Source organism: Homo sapiens, chromosome 6 (genome assembly GCF_000001405.40).
Source record: "Homo sapiens chromosome 6, GRCh38.p14 Primary Assembly".
NCBI lineage: Eukaryota > Metazoa > Chordata > Mammalia > Primates > Hominidae > Homo > Homo sapiens.
Window position 1 is genome coordinate 161,212,790 of NC_000006.12, and position 12,721 is coordinate 161,225,510.

The 12,721-nt window shown below is 43.4% G+C and overlaps 1 protein-coding gene across 1 annotated transcript in view, besides 1 other annotated feature; it reads right to left on the minus strand.

The window, feature by feature from the left end:
• The window catches only part of AGPAT4 (1-acylglycerol-3-phosphate O-acyltransferase 4), a 144,095-nt gene that overhangs the window by 82,823 nt on the left and 48,551 nt on the right, over positions 1 to 12,721 (minus strand). The window lies entirely within an intron of this gene.
• Positions 10,347 to 10,589: a silencer, noted in NCBI's record as "fragment chr6:161644168-161644410 (GRCh37/hg19 assembly coordinates)". NCBI's record gives its function as "represses an EF-1alpha promoter that drives an FKBP-Casp9 reporter gene in an ReSE screen in K562 erythroleukemia cells {active_cell/tissue: K562}" and the evidence as "EXISTENCE:reporter gene assay evidence [ECO:0000049][PMID:32094911]".

Below are 12,721 nucleotides of genomic sequence, written 5' to 3' on the forward strand. Positions count from 1 at the left end.
TAATCAGCTATAGAACTCTAACAGGTGTTCTTAAATGCAGGTTTCTGATAACTAACTTATAACAATACAGTTATTTGCATAAGTGCAGTAAGAATCAATTTTCACTGTAACAGGCCACAATCAGAGAAACTGTTTATTTTACCAAGACTTTGACTGTAATGGTGTGCTTTCCTTTAAGGAATCAAACTTGACTTATGAAGCCAATAAAAACCCCTTGGAAAAAACTGGCCTCATACCTTTGTCTACACAGCCCCTGCACAGGGTTCCTGACCTGTGGTAGGTAAACAATGTCACTTTCTGGCAGGTCCAGGAGCCTCAAGTTTATCTTGGAACCTCAAGAGGAGCTGATCACCCAACTCATAGGTATTTGATGGCACAAATCCATGGCTGGGCTCGGCTTTAAAAAAGTCTTATCTGAGATTCCTCCTATGGAACACAGTTCCATCAAAGCCAATTTAAAAGCCTTTGTAAAAATAATTATTCTTGCTGCACTGTATACAAATAATTAGGCCAAGTATAATAAAGCAAACCAGTCCTACCATGATTTGTCTTTAGTAAAAATGGGAAACTGAAGAGAGAATAATTATGCTTCAAAACTATAGTACACCTGTTGTTAGATTCTAGTTTTATCTTACATTTTTCAATTTTTATTATTTTCTACAGTTTGGACTGAATTCTAAGTTTTCTGGGCTACAAGTCTTCAAAATAATGTTTTCAATTTTTTGTTCCTTCCTTTTTTTCCCAATTTTTCCTAATTTGGAGTCACTGAAAACTAAGCTGTGCTTTTGTAAAGCCCTGTGAACTGAAGCCAGACAACTTAAACTTCAAAAGAAAATGACAACAATCTATTTACATACATAAGCCACTTTCATACCTGCCTACTGATGTATGGGCTTCAGAGTAATGTGGCCTATATTGATTTTTCCAGGATTGTTCTTTTGCTTGTTGTTGTTTGTCTTCCTTCCTCTATTTTCTCTTCATAGAATAACCTTATAAAAATGAGTTTTCCTAATAACTTAGATCCTACCTGTCTAGGAATAAGCCATCCTAGTCATGAGAGATCAGACAAAACCTGGGAACAGAGACTCATCTTCTTCTAAAATGCTTTCTCCAAAAAAATTTTTTAAAGTGGGGGTGGGGGTGTTGGGGAATGTGAAAGGAAAATATCTTAGGCCCCCAAAATCACTTAAAGGGAAAATTCAAGCTGGGAACTGTTTAGGGCAAACGTGCCACCCATTCTATTCAAAGGCATCCCTCTGCTCACTGAGATAAATGCATATCTTACTGCCTCCTTTGGAGAGGCTCATCAGAAACTCAAAAGAATGCTACCATTTGTCTCTCACCTACCTGTGACCTGGAAGCCCCTCTCCTTCGAGTTGTCCTGCCTTTCCAGACCAAACCAATGTTCATGTTACATCTGTTGATTGATGTCTCGTGTCTCTCTAAAATGTATAAAACCAAGCTGTGCTTTGACCACCTGGGCACATGTTGTCAGGACCTCCTGAGGCTGTGTCACAGGCACACATCCTCAACCTTGACAAAATAAACTTTCTAAATTTACTGAGGCCTGTCTCAAATTTTGGGGGTTTCAGAAGCCTGTTGCTCCTAGGCTGCTCACCTGTACAGCATGTGACTGTACTGAATACTGTAGGTCACTGTAACACAATGGTAACTATTTGTGTATCTAAACATAGGGCTGGGCATGGTGGCTCATGCCTGTAATCCCAGCCCTTTGGGAGGTCAAGGCAGGCGGATCAATTGAAGTCAGGAGTTCGAGACCAGCCTAGCCAACATGGTGAAACCCCGTCTCTACTAAAAGATACAAAAAAATTAGCTGGGCATGGTGGCACACACCTGTAGTCCCAGCTACTCGGGAGGCTGAGGCAGGAGAATCACTTGAACCCAGGAGGCAAAGGTTGCAGTGAGCCGAGATCGTGCCACTGCACTCTAGCCTGGGTGACAGAGGAAGACTCCGTCTCAAAATAAATAAATAAATAAATAATAAAATAAACATAGAAAAGGCACAGCAAAAATACTGTATTACAATCTTAGCAGACACCGTTGTAAATGTGGTCTACTGCCTGAAAAGTCATTATGGGGCACGTGACTATATTTCAAAACTATCTACGTTGACCTCCAAACCTGTTCTGCTGGCCTGCCTTAGATAAGACTGAGACAAAGGCAACAGGCCCATCTGCAGTTTCAAAAAATCAGACCATATCCAGCTTCATACTAACAATTTTTTCTTTGGTAGGACTACAAGCTATGTTTTTTATGTGACATTTTAAATACTTATTTAAATACCCCATAGAGACTGTCTAGATGCTTCACATTTCTATAGGCTTGAGTACAATTTTAATACTATTACAAGAGTCTTCACAATTTGGCAAGCTACATTAATGACCCTATTTAACTTATGATCCTACTCTTCCATAACTCATACACTGCATGTGTTGTAATCTGTTGCCTAGTTAGCAAATGTTTCTGTAGAATTAAGCTTCCCCGTATCTGTGGGTTGAAAATGTTTACACATCCCAGCGGACATATTTGTGCTGAATCTCAAGGTTTTTGAGGCCATGGCTCATTCCTTCTCTGCCATTTCCCATACTCTTGGATTTACAAAACATACGCATATACCCAGCAAACACAGACTGACAGTGACTCACCCTGATCTCATGCTCGGTAATCAGGTTCAGATATCCTGGTCCTTCAGCATGAGTGTGGTTCTCAGGTCTGTCTCTCTGGCACACATTACAGGCAAAACCCATATTTTAAATGTATAACAAGCTCTTTTTGAACCTAAAACATTCTAGTCTTTATATTCTGAAGCCTAGCACATGCTTGAAACACTGATATCCTTGCAGTGGCTGAGGGGTATATCTGCTTGAACCACACAGTAGAATAACCTCCCTTACCATAAAAAAAAAAAAAAAGAAAACACAAAAACACAAGATCCAAGTTTCCTGTTGATAGCTCAAACTCTAAAAGTCCTACCAGCCACCAACCCATTGTAATTTCTCCTTTTTAGGTAGATATACCCATTATTTTATTCGTAATACAGCATTACCTTTCAAACTATACATCAAATTGAGTAGAGCAGACATAGTCAAGTTTATCTATGCCGGCAAGCAAAACTCTTCGCATGCACCCTGCCATGAAGGGCTATCAAACCTCCTCTGCCCCTAGAGCTGGAAAGCTGTCCAGGCTCACACATACTTGCCTCTCTTAACCGCACCATGTCCAGTTGACGAGGATTAAAGAAAACAAACAAAAAATACCTTTCAGCTAAAGCCAGATTTGTGAGGCTGCCAAGAGCACTTTTCCCTCCTGCCTTGACAAGGCTTCTTCATAGTCTGACAAAGGAGACTAACACTCTTAGACACAAATACAAGTTGGAGATGTCTCTGAAAGGGTTCTGAACCCACGTTGGGGTTGGGTGGGAATAACTCAATGGATGACTGAAGCAAAGGGTCAATGCTTTCAGGGCTCTCAGAGTAAAGCCATGAAACAGAATAGGCAACAGCAGCCCCAGTCTCTTCTGTCCTCAAGCAAACGTCTGCAACAAGTGCGTCTCTTGTCCAGGATGACAGACAACCTCTGCAACTGCCTTCTACAATCTTCAGGCTCACTCTCCTCAGGACAGTGAAACGCTTCCGGGCAATCGTTCTTTCCTCATTCTTTCCCAACTTCCTCCCTGGGCTCCACTGTGGAAACCAAAATGCTGGGGCAGCATCAGCCCCGACGCCCCAGGCCCCACCCCAGCACTCTCTTAATTCAGATGATTTTCCCCAGTGTCCGTTTTCACACTGCTGCTGAAGACATGCCCGAAACGAAACCAAAAAAGGTTTAAAAGGTTTAATTGGACTTACAGTTCCACATGGCTGAGGAGTTCTCACAATCATGGTGGGAGGCGAAAGGCTCTTCTTAAGCAGCGACAGCAAGAGAAAATGAGAAAGAAGCAAAAGCGGAGACCCCTGATAAACCCATCAGATCTCGTGAGACTTACTATCACGAGACTAGCACGAGAAAAACTGGCCCTCATGATTCAACTACCTCCTCTTAGGTCCCTCCCACAATACGTGGGAATTCTGGGAGATACAATTCAAGTTGAGATTTCGGTGGGGACACAGCCAAACCTATCACCCAGTAATCCCTGCTTCTGTCTTAATTTGACTTTCCCCTCACACGTGGCTCTGATTCACCTTTGCTCACCTGCTGATGCGGTTCTCATGTTACACGTGTTCTTCACCTTCAGGCTTTCCTGTCCTTGTCAATTTCCGTTTAGGTGTTTTATCATTAGGGCCTGACTCCGCGTTTCAGCAATGAAAGATGAGCAGACAGTGGAGAAGGCAAGCCAGGGGAGGGGCGGAGTGAGCACAGGCGTGGGGACGCGAAAGGACAGGGGAACACCGGAGAACTCGGTCATCCGCTTGGGAGCCAGGGACATGCTGAGCTGGAAAACCTAGCCTTGGGTCAGAACTGGGCTCCCATCAATGCCTGGTACATGGTAACAGAAGGTGCTCAATAGATGTCTACCAAGTTGAATGAAAGGGCATCTCACTGTTTGAGCGTGCTTTAAAAAGCCTTATGGTGTGTCAGATGGAGGACGCATTGGGAGAGGCTGTGGTGGAGACCTGTGTTAACAGCCTGTCACAACGTTGCAGGCGATATCCAAGCCCAAAAGACATGCTTCTCCCTGTGTGTCCCTGGGGGAGTCCATCAGGTGCATGGTAATCCAGTATGAAGGCATTGGCGTTATGCCTGCATTTTCTCTCACTAATCATGTTCAGCTCTAGTTGGAGACATAGGTATATATAATCTGTTCCTTTCCATTTAAAGAAATTGGCTACTGGTGTAGAAATTGTACATGAACAATCTCATTTATGAACATCATAATTACCCTGGTGAAAGGACTGGCTGGGAGAGGCATGGCATATTCAGAAATCCTCAAAGCCCTGGAATTGGATCAGGGAGTCCAGCCAGAAACCTCCTCCCCTGACCCCGCCTGCCCAGGCCACTGCCCTGGGACAGGACTCACAGGCAGCACAGCTGGTGCCTCTGCTCCCGCGGGGCCCTGCACACACCAGCTCTGGGTTTGTTCTTGTTTGGATAACATGCAGAACTCACCATCACTAGACTGTGACTGGGTTGAAGGACAAGGTCTCTTCCTCATCTCCCAACTCACCTTGTAGCGTAGAGCATGTTCTATGTGATGCCTGCAAAGACCAATTGAACACGTATGCATTCACCGGGAATGCCCTGTGATGGCTGGTGTCTGTGTCTGATGAGTTGGTGCCTTGTTCTTCTGGCAAGAGAACCACATGCCCTGGGGTGGACATACAACCTGCACAAGATGACTGTAGCTCTCTACCCCCGTCCACAGTGACGGTGCCAATGGTGCTGTGCTGGAAAATGGTTAACAACCAGCTCTTGTGTGGCAGGGGAGGCAGTAGGTGGGAGGAAAAAAAGCCCTGATTTATAGTTCTGCCGATTTCTATGGTGCAAATATTCCCACAAATGTCAGTGCCAAGCTATCTATATGAAATCAATGAAGAAGAAGTTGGGAAGAGATTACCAAATTACCAGAGCTCCCTTTTAAAACATGCACGACTCCCTCTGCTGGCATGATGGTCTGACTAAGTGGGGAAATCACAGCAAGAATACCTTTACTTTACGTTTGTCTAGCACCTTACAATTTATTTCCCTCATCTTACAATTAAAAAACCAAACCCAGGTAAGTTGACTGTGTCACCAAGGTGGTTAGGCCACTGTTCAGAAGCCAAGACTCCAGGCTCCAAGTGCGTGTTACCATAACACCGGGGCAGGATCCTCCGCTCCACGGCCCTAGCACAGTGTATCCACATCAAATCTACTCAAAAACAGCCACTTGGAAGCTATAAAGGGAGCCATAAGGATGCTAGAAAATAACTGCTGTCCTCAACACTTTCCATATCATGTAACCATATACTCTGAGGTGGCAGAGGTGAAAAAACACTGTTATCTACCAAACAGTATGATAAAACACTGTATCTACCAAACAGTATGATAAAACACTGTATCTACCAAACAGTATGATAAAACACTGTATCTACCAAACAGTATGATAAAACACTGTATCTACCAAAGCGTTTCTAGGATTTTTCCTTCAAAACAGACTGTGGAATTGGAGAATACTTTTAATCTAATATTTTCCCTCCTTTCAGGAGAACCAGAATAGGACCAGAGAAGGGAGTTCTCAAAATGTTTGACAATGCCTCAGATCCCATCTGGGCCCAAGATAAACTGAAATAGAGAAAAATACAAAAATATTTTTTGCCATTAGGATTTCCTTGCTTTAGAGCTTGTTTTCATAAAACTATTTCCCCCTTACTTTAAGTGTGCTATATAAATTCTATCTCCAGTATGGTGAAACCAAAACCCATAGCTAAGGCAGTGGTCTTTCAATGTTTTTGATTCCTTAAAAAAAAAATTAAATATGCACCATTAGCATATACAACTTTTATATATGTAAAATTTGTATTTTATATAATTTAAAAAATATATAAAATGTCCTATCCAGACATTTATGATATGATAGAATATGATGGCATGATACGAGATGAGATAAAAGGAACATAAATAGAAGCTCTCAGGTTTGTTTTTTCTATACCCCAATGGCTTGTCTTGTTTACCTCCTGGAAATATCCACTGCACCATGAAGACCACACACGATCGCCTTATAACCTTACAAGACACCAAAGTCAAACTCACAACCTAATTTAAAAGCCGTAACTTAAGTCAGAAGTGAAATTTAATGCTTCCAAAAACAAATGGGCACTTTGCGAATTAATTTATTTATAAACCATATGAATAGCTAAGACAACTTGACTTAAGCCAAGCATCCATTCATACAATTCAGTATCACATGTGTATTCCTAAACTTGCTGATTCTTTAGGGCCACCTGTTTGAAATTTAGAGTGACTAAATTCCCTATTTAAAACGTAAGGTCATTTCTTGTACCAGGGACACAGATTCACAGTAAAAAAGATAGACAGAGATAGATAGATAGATAGATAGATAGATAGATAGATAGATAGATAGATAGGCAGGCAGGCAGGCAGGCAGGCAGGCAGGCAGGCAGGCAGGCGGCAGGCAGGCAGGCAGGCAGGCAGGCAGGCAGACAGACAGACAGACAGACAGGCAGGCAGATAGATACATTTAAAAAATAAATGGATTATTACTCAAAATACACAAGGCTTGCTATCACAGTTACATTATTCCTGTTAAAAAACTTAGAACTCCAGTGTCCTTGCTTATCACTCTCCATTGAATCAGCTTCATGAGACTGATTCATTTGGATATTTAATGTGCTTCCAATCACCAGGTATGTCAGCCACACAGCCTGCGCTATCACCAGATGACCTGAGCTAATAACACACTAATGTCATCATCAGACCTCATTCCTAATACCTCCTTCTTTCTCCTAAATAAACAAAAATGTGTTGGCATGAAGGGTTCATTTTGGAATAAGCATCATATGGAAAAGTTTAGCCAAGTAAAAGCCCAATTCTAAATAAAATCATTTCACTAGGAATTGGGCCAGAGTGTAACAGTAACTATGAAGAGAAAACATTACATCTGAAATGAGCTGGAGAGGCAGATAGACAGCTTCCTCGATACTTCAGATTAAAAACCCTAGAAGTATATGGAACAACAGAACGGATGGCCTTGGTGAGATGACTTCATTTTATAGTTCCTCAAGCAGAGCAAGTAGAGGAACCAAAGACTTGTTGCCCTCTTTTTGGCCAAACAAAGACGCTGCCAGTAAGACAGAACCGAATATTGCAAAATGGGTAGGCAATGCCCCCACCTGATTTGTGACGGGTGTCCCTCTCCTATTGCCCTTCTGCCTTTCTCTATGTTTGAAGGACAGTTTCATTCTATCTTTCCTACGCAGACTGCCCCATTGGTTGTGCAAAGCCATTCTGAAGACTCGGACAGCGTAGATATATTTTATTTTATTTTTATTTTTGAGACAGAGTCTCACTCTGTCACCCAGGCTGGAGTGCAGTGGTGCAATCTCGGCTCACTGCAACTTCTGCCTCCCGGGTTCAAGCAATTCTCCTGCCTCAGTCTCCCGAGTAGCTGGGATTACAGGCGCGTGCCACCACACCTGGCTAATTTTTTTTATTTTTAGTAGAGACGGGGTTTACCATGTTGGTCAGGCTGGTCTTGAACTCCTGACCTCAGGTGATCTACCCGCCTCAGCCTCCCAAAGTGCTGGATTACAGGCATGAGCCACCGCACCCGGCCCCAGACAGCATATTTAAACAGATGACACAAACGCTGGATGAACATGGTGAGCAAGGAACACATGGTGAAGGAAACGTGTGAGGCTTTCCCTCCGGTCAGCAGAAAATCCACCCCTCGGGGCTGGGTTTCCAGCATGGCAACCACTGGCTAGATCTGAGTGGGGCAACTGGCCCCAGATGAGGTTCCTACACAGTTTATATACAGTTTGTCACCTTCCTCCACGTCCAATGTCACCAGCCAGCCGCACTTTACTCCTTTGAGTTCCTGGATTTAAGAGGTGGGAAAAAGGATTTCTTGGCCTCGTCCATGGATAAAAGCAAGGTATTTTATCGTATAATCTCTCATTTCCTATCTTATCAATAAAATAAAGGTAGGGGTGGGAGAGATAGAAAGGAGAAAAAGGGAGAGGAGAGAGAAATAGATACCATATTAATGTGTCATTTATCACGAAACTGGACTTCACTTTGGACTTCACCACCACAGTAGAAGAAAAGACTTAGAACGCAGACTGGATTCATTTCCTGGGGCTGCCAAAGGACCACAGACTGGGGAACTGAAGTAACAGAAATTGATTGTCTGAGTTCTGGATTCCAGGAACCTCAGATCGGGGTGTTAGCAGGGTTGGTTCCTTCTGAGCATGTGAGGGAGGATCTGTGTCACAGCTCTCTCCCAGCGGCTGGGAGCCAGGTGTTCCTTGGCTTGCAGGGGATATTGTCCTCGTATCTTCACATCGTCTTCCTCTCTGCATGTCTTTCTCTGTGTCCACATTTTATAAAGACGCAGTCTTGTGGGATTAGGGCATACCCTAATGGCCTCATCTTAACTTGATCATCTATGAAGACTCTATTTCCAAACAAGTTCACATTCACAAGCACTGGGCTTTCAACATCTTGGAAGGACATAATTCAGGTGTGACACCAAGCGTCCAGCTCTTTCCTCTCAGTTCCTTTCCACGAATGACTGCAATATTTGGGATGAGGGTTGACTATGCTCTGCTCAGGTCCTGTAAGGCACAGCCTGAAACACCTTCCTTGTCACCCCTGGTCTCAGGGCCTCTGCCACACCCAGCCTGGAAGATGCAGTCAATCCATCCATCAATCAATAAAAGGTGCTGATGAATTTCAGCACATTTGATTTCACAATGGGCTCACTTTATATTTTCCTTTTCTACTCATTCCATAAGCTGTTCCTTATTTTGTCCTTTTTTGGTGTTTGGGTTTTATTTTGTATTTTTTCCAGTTTATAACATACATGATCATTGTGTAAAATATAAGACATCCAGATAATAAGACAATTTTCTAAAATCATCTCTAATTCCTAAAAATAGCACTTTGACAACTTTACTTCCAGTCTATATTTATAAAATTGGTATTAGAATGTACCAAGAGTTTTGTATTGTGCTATTTTTACTTAATAATATTTAGGGTATAACGTGGTTCAAGGAAATAATGACCCAGCTGGGCATCTTTCTATAAAAGATTACGCATGAACAGATTTTTTTTTTTTTCAAATTCCAATTAACAGTTTCTCAAGGCACATTTTGAACAATGGTTCAGGTCAAGACAAAAATAAATCTTGAAGTAAACCGATGGTCACAATTATTGAAATTTCTGAGGGATGGATACTTGGAGCCCATCTAGTGAGAGGGTCAATGGCTGCAAGTTGCTGCTAGGCGCTACTGTATGCCTGCCTGCTCTCCTGCAGGTGTCTGTGGATGCTTCCTCTGGCCTCATTCATTTGCACGGTGGCCTCACGACACAGCAAGGCCATGATGACATTTGATAGGTCCATCTCCTTCGGGTGCCTGGCTGCCTGAATAAACCCATTTAGCCACTTGGTGATGCCAGCATATGCTCCTGCCACCTACTGAACCACCTCTCCTCTTGCCAACATCTCACAATTCCCCTCATTCCTCAGCACCTGGCTTGTGATGCTGCTTCACGGGGACGTCGCTGCGCCCTGCACAGGATGGCTGGGCTGTCCCCTTCCCTGCACTCCCTGTGTACCTCCAGTCTAATCATCAACTCACTGCTCTACCATGCTGGGTCTATGAGCCTTCTCCACTAGACTGGGTCCCTACCAAGGACAGCAGCTGCACCCCTCTCATCTCTGTTCTCCAGGTGCTGACCCCAGTGCCTGGCCCCCTGGACTGAGCTTGGGTGCACGTTTGTTAAAGAATGCCTGCTGGGCGGCGACAGGCATTCTGCAGCGAATTAGCATGCACAGGTTTGATCCTAGCAGATGTTTGCTTAACATCATCCTTGGGTGTTAAAATAAAAACTTGCATAGCATTTGACATTTGCTTATTTCAAAGTGTGGTGGAAAAGGGGATTTTGGAATCTCAGCTCTCCTCCTCTCTGTTCGGCCTTAGGCAAGTCATCCAACCTCTCGCCTCATTTAACAGGTGAATTGCCTGTTCACATAGCGGTGTTATTAAATGAGGTAATGGCTAGGAAAGGTTTAGCACAATGCTTAATACATAATCAACACGTGACAAATGTAGCGAGTGTAATGACTGCAGCTGAAAATAGCTGTCCATTAATGAGTATGCTTCTCTTTTTATTCCATAGCCCCGTGGAGTGGCACCTCAGAGGCCACAGGTTTGAGAACACATCACTTACTACACTGACCAGTTGGACACATGGCCTCACCTCCAGAGCTTGGCTCCTCAAATGCAGGGCAGGGCTGGGTTGTGCCAAAGTGAAAGGCTCTCCACTCAAAGACCTCCTGGCCCCAATCTCTGCTCCATCACTTCCTGTGTGACCCTGGGCAAGTCACTTAAACTCTCTGTGCCTAACTACTCAAAACAGTTCCTGGAACAGTAAGTGCTCAGTAAATACTAGCTGGCTAAAAGTTCATAGAATAAAAAGGCAGAATCAGGAAGTGTTGTTCCTCTTAGCCTGCACGGATCGTGATTCTTTTATTTTTCTCCCATCTATCATTCCAGTATCATGTAAATTCAGATACTTAAATTCTTTAACTTGATAAAGAATTTTAAGTGAGATCTAAATTAAAGCAATTTCTGGATTGCTTCTGCTACATTCCATTTGGCATGCTGACTTGCTAACCTGATATGGTCTTTTGTTGTTGCTTGTTTGTTTGTTTGTTGTCCTATACATAAAGCTTTACTAAGAGAGGAGAAAACAGAACAAGGTCCATTTGTGCCCAAACATGGGATGGATGGATGGTTCTGTCCTGTTAATGCTGATTAGTATAACATGTGGCAAGTAGAACCGTTTTGTAAGAGATTATGATAAGATCTTTAGAAAACCAGACTGCAGCCAGATGTGGTGGCTCACTCCTGTAATCCCAGCACTTTGGGAGGTCGAGGTGGGAGGATCACTTGAGGTCAGGAGTTCAAGACCAGCCTGGGCAACATGGTGAAACCCCATCTACTAAAAATATAAAAATTAGCTGGGCACGGTGGCACCTGTCTGTAATCCCAGCTACTCGGGAGGCTGAGGCAGGAGAATCATCTGAGCCTGGGAGGCAGAGGCTGCAGTGAACCGAGATTGGCCACTGCACTCCAGCCTGGGTGACAGAGCAAGACTCCTTCTCAAAAAAAAAAAAAAAAAAAAGAAAGAAAACCAGACTGCAAGCTCTCTGAGGGCAGGACAGTAGCTGCCTTTGCTTCCCACTATTTCCCAAGTACCAAACGCAATGCCTGACACATATTAGGTGCTGAATACTTCTTGAATAAATCAGAAAATGACTTAGATGTAAAAGTAACATCTTTGTTGCTTGATTCAACATAGCTTACTCATTTCATTGGTCCAGTTATAGATTCTGTTAGATATGAGTTCTAAATTTCTTTTCAAAGAATCAATATGTCAGTATGTTCAATTCTTTGCCTTCTACTTTTAATCTTAACTTCCTCGTAAAGCAACCTGTTTCGATTACCTGCTCCACCCTGACTCATTCCAATTACGTGCTTCACCCTGACTCCTTCCAACTACCTGCTCCACCCTGACTCATTCCGATTACCTGCTTCACCCTGACTCATTCGGATTATTACCTGCTCTACCCAGACTCATTCGGATTACCTGCTCCACCCTGACTCCTTCCGATGACCTGCTCCACCCTGACTCATTCCAATTACCTACTCTACCCTGACTCATTCTGATTCCGTCCCCTGTCATAACCATTTTTCCCGCCAAACCACTCACCCCGTCACTCTCTTTAAATTAGCCAATCAGAATTAGTTTAACCTGTGCAGTCTAACCCTAGCCAATAGGGGAAGGACACAGCAGCAGGGGCCATGGGCTTCAGGGATAAGAACCCCTTCCCCTCTCTTGTCCAAGTGTGCACTCACCATTGCTCCATCTGTAAGGGTGCACCCTTCTATAGAAGTAACTTGCCTTGCTGAGAATTAAAAAGAAAATTTTATATTCGAGTGCTATTTCTTTTGCAGCACCGAAACTTTATTTA